The following is a 15,255-nucleotide window of genomic DNA, read 5'->3' as shown; positions in this document are numbered from 1 at the left end:
CAGGTGAAATTCTGTGTAGCTTTGTAAACTCTCAACTTGCACATAAATTCAAACTCGCCATCATGGAATTATCAAAAAACAATGAGAATCTGGGAATTTCTTGTTAAATGGCGTTTCTACGCATAGACTCCATGTCATCTACATTATTCTCCCAGGTAAAACCAGGCAAGTAATTATATAGGCAATTCCCACTTTTTACATTTTTGTGTTGCCCAATTACTAGATGCTGGTAAGTGTATCAGAAATCATCTTGTTATCACTGTAGATAAAATTCTGCTTCTCCTATTACCCATTTTAGCTCTTTTTTCTTTGGCAAGTTATTTGCTGTCATTTCTTGGCCTATGAACAGCTGAAGGTCATTTTCTAGATGAGAAATACGCCAATTTATCTCAATTTTCTCATTTAAAAAAATTTTGACTGCTAAGAATGTAAGATAGGGTTTCATTTGTGATAATTACCAAATTTCAAATAAGTGGTAAATGAAAATTGCCTGGTATTGTATAAGGAGGGGTAATTTAAATTCTTTGCAGGAAGCAATTGGTATTTCAGGTAAGTCTGTAGACATTGTTTATCTAAAACTATTTTAAAGGGCTCCATAAAGCTCTATGCCTTTAAATTTATTTTACTATTATAGTCATTTTACTAGCTAGGAACTGCAGCCATCTATCTCTGGCTGTCTCTTTCTGACACCCACAGATGTATACACCCACGCTCTCACCCATGCAAACCTACACTCTGACTCATGTTCAGAAGGATTGTCAAAAAATCCCCACTCCCTGTCTAACTAAAGTGTTCCTTTCAAACACATGCTACGTATTTGATCTATTTCCATATATCTGTGAATCAGCTGGTCTTGTCTGATCTACCTAGTAGACTAGAGCCTACATGTATGTTTTTTTCATATGGGCTTGGTAAACCTGATACATATTCAAGAGTACTGAGAGCATAAAACCCAGGGAACATTTACTATAAATGAATCATTGGTTATCCAAATGCTGGCAATTACTTCTGGTTTAAATATTATTCTAGAACTGGCAGCACATCCAGGTCTATCATCTCAATTAGCCTGGAGAGTGAGAAAAACTCCAGTTCAACATCACATGCATCTACCTGGACCACCAGTGAATACTTTCACAAAGCAGGGAAGAAATGTTGGAAGTATTTTATTAAATGACAGCAGAACATCACTTCCTTTATCTATAACTCTTTTATCCAGTGACATATAATAACTAAAACATAGCTGAGATCCAGATAGAAAGAATAAGATAGAGACCTTCAAATAAATGCATGAAAGCTATATTCTTGGTACACTGCTCACAAGAGTGACCCTTTGGTATTCACTATATGCCCATTTAATTTTATTTTGTTTGCTTCTAAGAAGTTAGTTTATGTGACTTACCAACCACTTAGCTAATTAGGAGCATTAAATTAAAACAAAAAAAAATTCTTGCCAGGCACTGAGGCTCATGCATACAGTCCCAGCTACTTGAGAAGCTGAGGTAGGAGGATTACTCAAACCCAGGAGTTTGAAGCTGCAGTGAGCTGTGCTCATATCACTGAACTACATACAGCTGGGTGACAGAGCCAGCCCCTGTCTCTAAAACAAAATTTTTCTTAAGGGAGGCTGCTAAACACAGGCCAAATTCTGTCCATGTGGAATGACAGCTGACTATCTCACAGCAAAGCAAACAGCAGAAAATTTATGAGAAACAAATAAAAAATTTAAGGAGAGTTAGTGTAGGAATAAACCATTCCATATACTCCAGGACTGTTTGAGGGTGCCATTGCTTTATGGCATAGGGAGGAATTGACTTTTATAATGATGATGGTGAATCATCAAAATAAATCTCATTGTGGCTCTGTTTAGAAAGGCAACTTATATAAGTGTAAGTTTTGCTTACATGCTTATATACTTATACTTATGTAAGTTATGTATATACTTATATAAAAATGGTTTCAAGTAAACTTTTAAAATAGTAAAAGTAATACATATTAACTTAAAATGTATTCATACAGAAGAGCATAGAGAAGTTAAAGCTTCCACTCTTTTGCCCCACCCCCTTCTGCCATACTCCACAGAGATTCTTCCATTTTCTATGGTTATTTTATTTTATTATTTTATTTACATTGTTGTGCTTAATAGGCAAAGCTTCAGAAATCTGGGAAATCCAGTTATCCAGAGAACCTATTTTCTCATGATCTTGACTGAGGAAACAGGGTTGTATCTGTAACCATGGTCCACATAGACTCATCATATTTTTACAACAGAAGTAGATAACACAAGCCCCAACTATGCAGATCCAAAATGACATTATCTCTCCTTGACACTTGCATCTCTTACAGCCACCATCCTAAGTACTTTCCACTGGTTTCTTACATACAAGATAAAATTCTGAAAGAGTACTGCTTCCTACTTCAATGCTGAGTTCAATTATGGATAACTACATGGTTCAATATCCGTTTTAAAACATGCCAACAAACTCAAGATCCCCAGTAGAAGTCACAGAAAAAGGACAGAAAGCTTGGTTTAGCAGGAGGGTTTGCCCCTTGGCCTAATTACCTCCTGAATTTCTGATGCCTTTTCAAATGTGGACCAGATAGAGAAACACTAGCCTTCCACCACCTCCATCATCACCTCCTATTTGAAGACAGCTTCTAACAGGAGCTGACTTACCATAGGCCCCAGATCAGTCTGGGTAAAGGACTCTGGGGTTTCAAATTAGAGCCTGAGAAGTCTAAGCAAGAACCTGGAATGTGCCAAAAGTATGTGTTAGAATTAAAGCAAACAGCCATTCTATATTTACTTGGAGGACAAAGAAAGTCATTTAAAAAAATAGGCAACATCCTGGTGCAGAATTTAAATGTATACTTACATTACTTGAAGATTTCCTCATCAAGAAACAAATTTCCATTTCTAATCGCCCTTTTCTTGTGTCCTCTGTACAGATTGCAATTAAGAGGAATATCTACAGAAAACTTAAAATTGTCATAAGTAGCACATGTATTTTTGATGCATTCAAAATAGAGATAGTCCAGGTGCAGTGGCTTACACCTGTAATCCCAGCATTTTGGGAGGCCGACTCAGGAGGATTGCTTGAGGCCAGGAATTGGAGGCTGCAGTGAGCTATGATCACACCACTGAACCCCAGCCTGGGCAACAGTGCAAGACCTTGTCTTCAAAAAAGGAAAGAAAAACAGGCCGGGCGTGGTGGCTCACGCCTGTAATCCTAGCACTTTGGGCGAGCGGATCACTTGAGGTCAGGAGTTTGAGACCAGCCAGGCCAACATGGCGAAACCCCATCTCTACTAAAAATACAGAAGTTAGCCGGTTATGGTGGCACATGCCTGTAATCCCAGCTACTCGGGAGGCTGAGGCAGGAGAATTGCTTGAACCCAGGAGGCAGAGGTTGCAGTGAGCCGAGATTGCGCCACTGCACTCCAGCCTGGGCAACAGAGCGAGACTCCGTCTCAGGAAAAAAAAAAAAAAAAGGAAAAATAGAGAGAGGCTGAAGTTATCAAAATAGAATGATATCTCAAAATAAGAAGTACTGTTGAGAGGTGACAGTGTGCTGGCAGTTCTCACAGCCCTTGCTCGCTCTCGGCGCCTCCTCTGCCTGGGCTCCCACTTTGGCGGCACTTGAGGAGCCCTTCAGCCCACCGCTGCACTGTGGGAGCTCCGTTCTGGGCTGGCCAAGGCCGGAGCCGGCTCCCTCAGCTTGCAGGGAGGTGTGGAGGGAGAGGCGCGAGCGGGAACCGGGGCTGCGCGCGGCGCTTGCGGGCCAGCTGGAGTTCCGGGTGGGCGTGGGCTTGGCGGGCCCCGCACTCGGAGCAGCCGGCCGGCCCGGCCGGCCCTGCCGGCCCCGGGCAATGAGGGGCTTAGCACCCGGGCCAGCGGCTGCGGAGGGTGTACTGGGTCCCCCAGCAGTGCCGGCCCACCGGCGCTGCACTCGATTTCTCACCGGGCCTTAGCTGCCTTCCCGCGGGGCAGGGCTCGGGACCTGCAGCCCGCCATGCCTGAGCCTCCGACCCCCTCCGTGGGCTCCTGTGCGGCCCGAGCCTCCTTGACGAGCGCCACCCCCTGCTCCATGGCGCCCAGTCCCATCGACCACCCAAGGGCTGAGGAGTGCGGGCGAACAACGCGGGACTGGCAGGCAGCTCCATCTATCTGCAGCCCCGGTGCGGGATCCACGAGGTGAAGCCATCTGGGCTCCTGAGTCTGGTGGGGACGTGGAGAACCTTTATGTCTAGCTCAGGGATTGTAAATACACCAATCAGCACTCTGTATCTAGCTCAAGGTTTGTAAAAACACCAATCAGCACCCTGTGTCTAGCTTAGGGTTTGTGAATGCACCAATCGACACTCTGTATCTAGCTACTCTGGTGAGGCCTTGGAGAACCTTTGTGTCCACACTCTGTATCTAGCTAATCTGGTGTGGACTTAGAGAACCTTTCTGTCTAGCTCAGGGATTGTAAAGGCACCAATCAGCGCCCTGTCAAAACAGACCACTGGGCTCTACCAATCAGCAGGAAGTGGGTGGGGCCAGATAAGAGAATAAAACCAGGCTGCCTGAGCTAGTAGTGGCAACCAGCTTGCGTCCGTTTCCATGTTGTGGGAGATTTGTTCTTTCGCTCTTTGTGGTAAATCTTGCTACTGCTCACTCTTTGAGTCCACACTGCTTTTATGAGCTGTAACACTCACCGGGAAGGTCTGCAGCTTCAATCCTGAAGCCAGCGAGGCCACCAGCCCACCGGGAGGAACGAACAACTCCAGACGCACCGCCTTAAGAGCTGTAACACTCACCGCGAAGGTCTGCAGCTTCACTCCTGAGCCAGCGAGACCACGAACCCACCAGAAGAAAGAAACTCCGAACACATCCGAACACCAGAAGGAACAAACTCCAGACGCGCCAACTGTAACACTCACCGCGAGGATCCGTGGCTTCATTCTTGAAGTCAGTGAGACCAAGAACCCACCAATTCCGGACACACTGTGAGTCAGGATCAGTCTTATTATAGCTAATTAGAGCAACCCCATTGCTAAAGAGTTTAGAGCCTGGGTCAGACTTCATGGTAGCAAAGCAATGTTTTATTGTAATAGTGTAATTAGGAATGTGTGGCAATATTTTAACCCCTCCTCCCAAGAGTTCCACAATGCTTTCTTAACATGTTTATAAATATTTGCTTTTGTGCCATTTTAGGGGAGCTTTCCGTACAAACATTTGGCTTTTAATGAGTCATCCACACTCTGATTCATACCCATAAGCTTCCTGCTTTGTTATCAGTGAATATTGGGCTCAGTAACTGCCTTACTTTTATAATTTACATGAATGAATATGGAAAAGGTGGTGGAGGTAGAAAGACATATTCAGGTAAATATAAAAACACCCTGGTTTCTTTACAAGAGATTGACAAATACGGCCCAATACCCTATCATTTAAAGTAAGTGCCAGAATTGTGATGGATTTGTGTTTGGCCTTAAAAAAAAATAAAAATAAAAATAAAAACAAAAACACTTGGATAATTCTACCTGATGTTACATTTTTCTTTTTTTTTTTCTTTTCTTTTTTTTTTTTTTTTTTTGAGATGGAGTTTTCCTCTGTCACCCAGGCTGGAGTGCAGTGACGTGACCTCAGCTCGCTGCAACCTCTGCCTCCCAGATTCAAGCAATTCTCTCTCAAATTGCTCAGAAGCTGAGCAATTCTGCCTCAGCTTCCCAAATAGCTGGGATTACAGGTGCGTGCCACCAGGCTCAGCTAATTTTTGTATTTTTAGTAGAGATGGGGTTTCACCATGTTGGCCAGGCTGGTCTTGAACTCCCGACCTCAGGTGATACGCCCGCCTCGGCCTCCCAAAGTGCTGGGATTACAGGCATGAGCCACTGCGCCCAGCCTGATGTTCCATTTTTCTAATCACCAAGTGTATTTATTAGCTAAGGGTATCCCAGAAATTAAATTACCAACATAAAATTTTACTTGTGCTATTATAATTTAGCTATTAAATCCTAAAATTATCAACTGAAAGCTACTGGAAAAATAAATACTTCTCTTTCTTTTCTCCATATTGAAAGTAAAGAGAATGAGGATCCTTAGCTAAGATTTTAATTAAATCTTTTCTGAGCCAGAATTGCAAAGCTTTTCTTTGTATAAATAAGGACTCGAGTTATAAAGCATAGAACTAGCAATGAGTCTATCTTGGTCCATTTGGATTGCTATAAAGGAGTACCTGAGGCTGGGTAATTTATAAAGAAAAGACGTTTATTCGACACATGATTCTGCAGGATGTACAAGAAGCATGGCACCAGCATCTGCTCTTGGTGAAAACTTCAGGTGGCTTTGACTCCTGGTGGAAGAAGGGAAGTCTAGCTTGTGCAGAGCTCCCATGGCCAGAGAAGGAAGGGGGGTTTGAGGAGGTGCCAGGCTCTTTGAATAGAGCGAGAACTCACTCATTACCAAGAGAAGGCACCAAGCCATTCATGAGGGATACACCCCTGTGACCCAAACCTTGCCCCCCTTCCAACATTGGGGCTTAAATTTCAATGTGATGTTTAGGGGTACAAACATCCAAACCACAGCAGAGAAATACAGAGTTCTGTATTTCTATTCCCAAAGGGCAAAATTTGGGAGGTGAATGGGTCTATATGTGTGTTGGGGGGAAGAAGTTAATATGAAGAAAAGAAACTAAAGTGCTTTACATAATAATGAGAATTACAGATTAAAAAATCTGTAATCTTTCCCTAAAAAGGGAAAGAAGTACCATGCAAATTATGAGGTAAGTAGACTATATGACTTATTTATTTTTATTAGGTTAGAGCAAGAATTGCAAACTCAAGGTCCTGACTCCTTGAATTGCACTCTATGGACCCAGTCATACTTCATTTGCATATTATATATTAAATGCTTTGGCATGATCTTTGCTCCCCCTTACATCCTCAAAACACTCTTTTTCCATTTTTCTTAAAATATATGTTCCTCTTTGTCTATATTTTATTTTTCCAACTTTGAAAAGGACTTACACATAAAAATGGTATCACTTTCTTCTTAACTGTAAGAAAAATGGTCTCAGCCATACATTGATGAATGGCAGCTGTCATTCAGCCTCAGTGTGAAGGAGACAACAATGAGTGGTGAGGACTGTAATAAAATGGAAAGCACATGCCCATCCAAAAGTGAGCATTCACTTCTAGGAACTAGTAAAAATGGTAATAGCCAGATCTTTCTATTTTTTCACAAGAAGCCTGAAAGTATTTAAATATTTTATGACTAATTCAAATGCTTTAAAAATAAGCAATTTGATTCTAGGAGGCCAAACTAGTTGCTATCTATGATTTAAACCATAGTGTCTTTCAGAATTAATGTATGTCCTTGGCGGGTGTGTGTGTGTGTGTGTGTGTGTGATCCCAAAACACCAATAATTACCAGTGAAAAATTTAGGAGATTAAATATGTGTACTTTAATCCACATTGGGGGAAGAGAGAGATATAAAAGGTGCTGAGAACCTTGAAGTGGTGCCCCTCCTGATCTGCCTTCTACCTCTTCAACATACGTGCTGTGCACCATGAAAGACTTGAAGTGCAATGGCAATCTGTGATCCTTTGTGGAAACCTTTCCCTAATTTGCCCCAGAGTGAATGTTTCACACTTGGATTCACATTTGCTGAGAGAGGCGGAAAAATCTTAGGGACAATTAGAACAATAATAACAACATTCATATTATTATTCAATGACAGCAACATTCATATTCATTCTTTCATTCAGCAAATATTTATTGCACACTTGCTATGTGCTAGAACTATAAAATGGCAATGATGTGTTAGGTAATTTGTAATCATGGGGAAAAAATCAGTTAGGGAAAGACAAAACTGCCTTCCCTTATAGAGATTATATTCATTGAGGAGACAAATAATAAATAAAATGAATAGTGTAACATAGGTTAGATAGTGACAAGTGCTATGGAGAAAAAGAAAGTAGGAAAGGGTCATTTCTCTGGTTTCCTGATGTGTAATTGGAATAGATATCCTTGGTAGCTGGTAGAATCTCTGCAGTGATTCCTTGTACTGTGGGGTAAAAGCTATGTTAGCAGGGGAGACCAAGAGGAATAGCTGAAACAAAATTCACTTTCTCAGTAAGATAGTAAATAAGAAAGTGATATTGCATCCTGGGAAACATGGCCGAGATTAGTGCTTCTCTTTAAGACCTAAAGGATGCAGAGTGATGGCCCTCACTCATCCTCATTTAATTCACCTGTCAGGCCCTTGCAAAAATTGGTCTGATCCTGGGGGATAATAAACTCAACCAAATAGTTGCCCCAATTGCTTTTGTTATGCGAGATATATCTTTGCTAGAACAAACTGATTAACCTGGCCTCAGGTACCTTGCATTGATTGGCAAATGTATTCATTTCTATTCCTGTAAAGAAAGAGAAACAAAAGCACGGGAATGACACAGACTTTTACAGCACTGAGCAGGGCTAATTCTCATGCCCTCTGTCATAATATAACCTAAAGGGACTTGGACTGTCTGGATACTCCGCACATCAACACCATAACCCACTATACTGATGATATCATGTGTGATGGTTTTCAAATATGCACACAAATTTCTGATTCTTCTTTCTTCAAGAGGTGGAGCTTAATTCCCCTTCAATTGAGGGTGAGTCGGGCATAGTGACTTGCTTCTAATTAATAAAATATTGCAGAAGTGATGATGTGGTTTTTCTAAGACACTGCAACTTCCTTTCCTTGCTCTCTCTTGAATAACATGCTCTGAAGGAAATCAGGTACTATGTGATGAGGACATTCAAGCAATCCTAGGGAGAGATTCATGTAGAAAAGAACTAAGGCCTCCTGCCAAAAGCCATTTGAGTCAGCCCTCTTGGAAGTAAACCCTCTACCCCTAGTAAAGCCTTCGGATGACTGCAGCCCTGGGCAGCATCTTGACTGCAAACTCATGAGAGACCCTGAGCCACAATCACCCAGCTAAGCCACTCTTAAATTCCTGTCCTATACTGTGAGATAATAAATGTTTACTGGTTTCAGCTGAAAGGTGACAGAGTGGGAGTCATGTCACCATCTCTGGCTGTACACGGAAGAATTACAGTGAGTGACCTTTAACACAACCCCTTAGTGCTCCTTCGGTACCCAGTAAATGAGGGTTATCATACAACTATGATTATAGAGCAATAGATCTGGCTTATTCATGAGACACTTCTGAGCAGTCATAAATTAAAGCATGCATGCAAAAGCCCAAGATATGCCGTTAACAACACTGGAACCAGACCTCGGTTTTCTCACTTTATTATCTGTTCTCCTCTTCTTTGGTTTCTTTTTATTTTGTTTTTTTCCATCATTGAATGATGGTGAAGTTAATAATGGAAAAGAGGGAGGGAAGAAGAGAAGAAAGGAAGTTGAATATATGAAGGACCAAAGAGAATATTACCTTCCTCCTTCTCGGGTGTGCTTAGACACAAAACCTAACATCCAAATAAACCAAGGTGTCATTTGGATCTCTAATGGAGATTGCCAAGAGTTCTGTATGAGACAGATTCCTATTAAAGTCTCAGAACACGTTCTGTGCAAGATCATCTCTGGAGAGCATATATGTTGGGAAACCCTTTTCCCTCTGCCTTCCCTAAATTTGGTCTGGAACACTGTTTTGGGGTCCACACATATCCTTCAACCCAACACAATCTCAACACAAGAAGAGATCAGGGTAAATGGGGATCAGGAAGGAATATGTATCCTTCTTCCAGTCATGAATGAACTTAGATATCAGGGGGACAAATTTCTGAGTGTTATTTCTCCATGGCTTCCCCTGATGTGGCCTAAGTGGGTGAGGAGGCATTTTTCCCAGCCCTTATCACCCAAGTCTTTCTATTCTGGCCCCTCAGATAGAGACTTGGTAATACATCACTTTTGTTTTGGCTGCCCTGCCTGACCCACCTCTCCTCTTTCTAACAGAAAATAGCTGCTGCCCCACTCCTGTGCCAAAATCTGCTCCAAGGGATCCTATCCTAGTCAGAAGGCTGTACTCTGAATGCTGATATTAGCTACAACACCAAGGCTTCCCACTATACAAACTGGATCCTCAAAGTCATCCACACCAAATGAACTCTCTATTCTTTCTCCCAGTAGCCTGAGAACTGGGTTTACCAGCCTTGGCCCTTCCTTTCCTTCTAGCCTCAAAACAGGATGGGAACAGAGTCTTTGGCTGTGAGAATGGGCTCAATAACAAAATAAAGATGACAGAAGAGTCAGTGACTTCAATGACAGAGCGATAGAAATTACCAATATAAACGGAGAGAAAAGAGATTTTTTAAAAATGAACAAATCCCCAAGGACCTGTGAGACAATAACTGTGTTAGGTTTTCTAAACTTACAAGTGTTTTTATTTATATATGGTAAGCAACTATGCATTATTTGTGTCAGAATTATTTTTTGTATATATTTAAGGTATACAACATGATGTCTCAACATACTTATATGTAGTGAAATGGTTACTACAGTCACCACACTTATTGTCTCACAGGTTATTGTCTTCAGAAGGAGAGTAAAAAGAATGCTGGGTAGAAGAAATACCTGAAGAAATAATGGCCCAACCTCAAATTTGGTGAAAGACATAAACTTACAGATTCAAGAAACTGAGTGTTCCCCAAACAGAATAAACTTTAAAGAATCCACACTCAAACACATCATAATCAAACTTCTGAAAACTAACAACAAAGAAAAACTTAAAATCAGCAAGAGAGAAACCACACATTATCAACTGATGAAAAGTGACTCAAGTGACAGCAGATTTATAATCAGAAACTTGAAGGACAGAAGGAAGAGGCAAAACATTTTGAAAGCCCTAAAAGGAAAGAACTGTCAACCCAGAATTCGACATCCAGTAAAAATATCCGTCAAGAATGAATATGAAGGAAAGCTAAGAATGAATATATCTTCTATTTCTTTGCTAAATTTTTCTACTTTTTCATTTGATGTAAGAGTGTTTATAAGTGCTTATGGAGCATTTTTATGATAGTTGGTTTACAATCCTTGTCTGAGAGTAGCTATGTGAGATGACGTATATAGTAAATGGTGACTGTAGTAACCATTTCACTACATATAAGTATGTCAAAACATGTTGTACACCTTAAATATACACAAAAAATAGCTCTGACACAAAAAATGCATAGTTGTTATTACCATGTATAAATAAAAATACTTGTAAGTTTAGAAAATAAAATCATTGTCTGATAATTATCTAAATAATAAAGTCCATCTGTGTCATCTTGGTGTTGGCATCTATTGATCATTTTTCATTTGACTTGAAGTTTTCCTGATATGGTGAGTCATTTTTGACTGTATCCTGGACTTCTGGGTATTATAAGACTCTAGCTCCTATTTGGAACTCGTATTTTATAAAGTAGTTAACTCTGTCTGTTCAGAATGCACATCCTAGCTGACTTTTGTGGGCTGTGATTCAAATGTTAATTTAGTTTATAAAACTTCTTCTACAGTGCCATTCTGTAGGGGTTTATAGTAGACAAAATAATTCCCCTCAGCCTAGAGTTCTATACATCTTAATCCCTAGAACCTAAGAATCTGTTACCTTACTGGTAAAAGGGACTTTACACATGTGATTAAGATAAGGATCTTCATATGGGAAGGGTATTCAGGTAGGCCCAATGCGATCACAAGTGTCATTATAAGAGAAAAGTAAGACAGTCAATAGAAGAGATGAGATGTGTTTACAGAAGTAGCAGTTGGAATGATGTACTTTGAAGATGGAGGAAGGGGCCATGGGCCAAGGAGTACAGGCAGACTCTGGAAGCTGGAACAGGCAAGAAAATGGATCATCCCCTCAAGACTCCAGAAAAAATGCACCTCTGTGTGCACCTTGATTTTAATCCCATAAGACCCCTTTTGAACTTTGGATCTCCAGAAGTGTAAAATAGTAAATTTTTGTTCTTTTAAGCCACTAATTTTTTGGTAATTTGTTACAATAGCAACAGGAAATTAATAGAGGAGTGAAAGCCAGAGGCCCACGAACCAACTCTACTACAATAGTACTAGTGGAATGAGGGAGGGGCATGGCTTTTTTTCATAGTGTTTGTCTCAAGTACAGGCAAATTACCTTCCAAATTCCCTCACATTGTTGGCAGAATTCATTTCCTTTCAGTTATCAGACTGAAATCCCCATTATCTTGCTAGCTGTCAGATGGGGACCACTCTGCTCTTAGAGGCCACTTTCAGGCCCTTGCCAAATGGACCCTTCTATCTTAGCTCAAGAAAACCTTCTTCATGTCTAATCTCTCTCATTTTGAATCTCCCGACTTCCTCTTCTGCAAGTAGCCAGAGAAAACAGCTTTTAAAGGGCTCATGTGATTAGACCAGGACCACCTGGATAATCTTCCTATCTTAATGTCAACTGTACCATATAGCGTAACCTAATCACAGGAATAAACTCCATCGAATACATCGTTCCAGGTCGAGGCATGTACATCAGTGATGAGAAATCTTAGGAGACACCTTAGACTTTTGCCTGCCAAATATAGTTAAAAGGTTTTTGTCTTGTTGGGCTGTACCTTTCCCAGTATTCTGGCTAGAAAGAGGGGGATTTAAGGGGGATGGGGGAAGGGCTTTTTTTTGTCTGTGCCCATTGTTGTTTCCAGGTTGCAGGCATCTCTTGCACACAGGCCTGTATATCTAGGAGGTGAGAAAACCAAGAAACTCACTGTCAGGTCTCCAGTTCTTGTGTGATATATATATATACAATATGTACATATATATATAATATATATAAAATAAAGGGACTCTTCAAGTCCCTAGTTCCCTAGTGTGAAATAATAAGAAATAAATATATAAATAATATATATATACACACACACATATATAGTATATATATACGCACACATATATATACACACACACACACATATATATATATACTCTCTGCCCCTGGTTTCTGATACTGAATTTTTTTTTTTTTTTTGAGACAGAGTCACACACTGTTGCCCAGGCTGGAGTGCAGTGGCATGATCTCAGCTCACTGCAAACTCCACCTCCCAGGTTCACGCCATTCTCCTGCCTCAGCCTCCCGAGTAGTTGGGACTACAGGTGCCCACCACCACGCCTGGCTAATTTTTTTGTATTTTTACTAGAGACGGAGTTTCAGCATGTTAGCCAGGATGGTCTCGATCTCCTGACCTCGTGATCTGCCTACCTCAGCCTCCCAAAGTGCTGGGATTACAGGCGTGAGCCACCCGCGCCTGGCCCAGTTTTCTGTTCTTGTGTTAGCTTGCTGAGAATGATGGTTTCCGGCTTCATCCATGTCCCTGCAAAGGACATGAACTCATTCTTTTTTTATGGCTGCATAGTATTCTGTGGTGTATATGTGCCACATTTTCTTTATCCAGTCTATCATTGATGGGCATTTGGGTTGGTTCCAAGTCTTTGCTATTGTAAATAGTGCTGCAATAAACATACGTGTGCATGTGTCTTTATAGAATGATTTATAGTCCTTTGGGTATATACCCAGTAACAGGATTGCTGGGTCAAATGGTATTTCTGGTTCTAGATCCTTGAGGAATCACCACACTGTCTTCCACAATGGTTGAACTAATTTACACTCCCACCAAAAGTGTAAAAGCATTCCTATTTCTCCACATACTCTTCAGCATCTGCTGTTTCCTGACTTTTTAATGATCGTCATTCTAACTGGCACGAGATAGTATCTCATTGTGGTTTTGATTTGCATTTCTCTAATGATCAGTAATGATGAGCTTTTTTTCATATGTTTGTTGGCTGCATAAATGTCTTCTTTTGAGAAGTGTCTGTTCATATCCTTTGCCCACTTTTTGGTGGGGTTTGTATTTTTTTTCTTTTTTTCTTTTTTTTGAGACAGTCTTGCTCTATTGGCAGGCTGGAGTGCAGTGGCACGATCTCAGCTCACTGCAACCTCTGCCTCCTGGCTTCAAGCCATTCTCCTGCCTCAGCCTCTCGAGTAGCTGGGACTACAGGTGCGTGCCACCACGCCCAGCTAATTTTTGTGTTTTCAGTAGAGACAGGGTTTCACCATGTTGGCCAGGATGGTCTTGATCTCTTGACCTCGTGATCCACCTGCCTTGGCCTCCCAAAATGCTGGGATTACAGGGGTGAGCCACCACGCCTGGCCTGTTTGTATTTTTTTTCTTGTAAATTTGTTTAAGTCCCTTGTAGATTCTGGATATTAGCCCTTAGTCAGATGGATAGATTGCCAAGATTTTCTCCCATTCTATAGACTGCCTGTTCACTCTGATGATAGTTTCTTTTGCTCTGCAGAACCTCTTTAGTTTAATTAGATCCCATTTGTCAATTTTGGCTTTTGTTGCCATTGCTTTTGGTGTTTTAGTCATGAAGTCTTTGCCCGTGCCTATGCCCTGAATGGTATTACCTAGGTTTTCTTCTAGGGTTTTTATGATTTTACATCTTGCGTTTAAGTCTTTAATCCATCTTGAGTTAATTTTTGTATAGGATATAAGGAAGGGGCCCAGTTTCAGTTTTCTGCATAGGGCTAGCCGGTTTTCCCAACGCCATTTATTAAGCAGGGAATCCTTTCCCCATTGCTTATTTTTGTCAGATTTGTCAAAGATCAGATGGTTGTAGATGTGTGGCATTATTTCTGAGGCCTGTGTTCTTTCCATTGGTCTATATATCTGTTTTGGTACCAGTACCAAGCTGTTTTGGTTACTGTAGCCTTATAGCATAGTTTGAAATCAGGTAGCGTGATGCCTCCAGCTTTGTTCTTTTTGCTTAGGAGTGTCTTGGCTAATGGACTCTTTTTTGGTTCCATATGAAATTTAAAGCATTTTTTTCTAATTCTGTGAAGAAAGTCAATGGTAGCTTGATGGGGATAGCATTGAATCTGTAAATTACTTTGGGCAGTATGGCCATTTTCACAATATTGATTCTTCCTGTCCATGAGCATGGAATGTTTTTCCATTTGTTTGTGTCCTCTCTTATTTCTTGAGCAGTGGTTTATAGTTCTCCTTGAAGAGGTCCTTCACATTCCTTTTAAGTTGTATTCCTAGGTATTTTATTCTCTTTGTAGCAATTGTGAATAGGAGTTCACTCATGATTTGGCTCTCTGTTTGTCTATTATTGGTGTATAGGAATGCTTGTGATTTTTGCACATTGATTTTGTATCCTGAGACTGCTGAAGTTGCTTATCAGCTTAAGGAGATTTTGGGCTGAGACGATGGGGTTTTCTAAGTATACAATCATGTCATCTGCAAACAGA

The 15,255-nt window shown here is 40.9% G+C and overlaps 1 long non-coding RNA gene across 1 annotated transcript, besides 1 other annotated feature; it reads left to right on the top strand.

The window, feature by feature from the left end:
• Window positions 4,073–5,272: an enhancer, noted in NCBI's record as "BRD4-independent group 4 enhancer chr2:191624535-191625734 (GRCh37/hg19 assembly coordinates)". NCBI's record gives its function as "activates an origin of replication core promoter dependent on BRD2, P300/CBP, MED14 and CDK7 cofactors, and independent of BRD4, by STARR-seq in HCT116 cells {active_cell/tissue: HCT116}" and the evidence as "EXISTENCE:reporter gene assay evidence [ECO:0000049][PMID:35650434]".
• LOC124907946 (uncharacterized) lies at window positions 4,580–11,264 on the top strand. The gene is made up of 2 exons (XR_007087780.1): window positions 4,580–4,989; window positions 9,954–11,264. It is a non-coding gene; the product is annotated as an uncharacterized LOC124907946 (long non-coding RNA).
• Window positions 11,265–15,255: the final 3,991 nt, after the last annotated feature.

Source organism: Homo sapiens, chromosome 2 (assembly GCF_000001405.40).
Source record: "Homo sapiens chromosome 2, GRCh38.p14 Primary Assembly".
NCBI lineage: Eukaryota > Metazoa > Chordata > Mammalia > Primates > Hominidae > Homo > Homo sapiens.
Note: the sequence above shows the minus strand (reverse complement) of the source record. Positions and strands in the feature narration are given on the sequence as shown.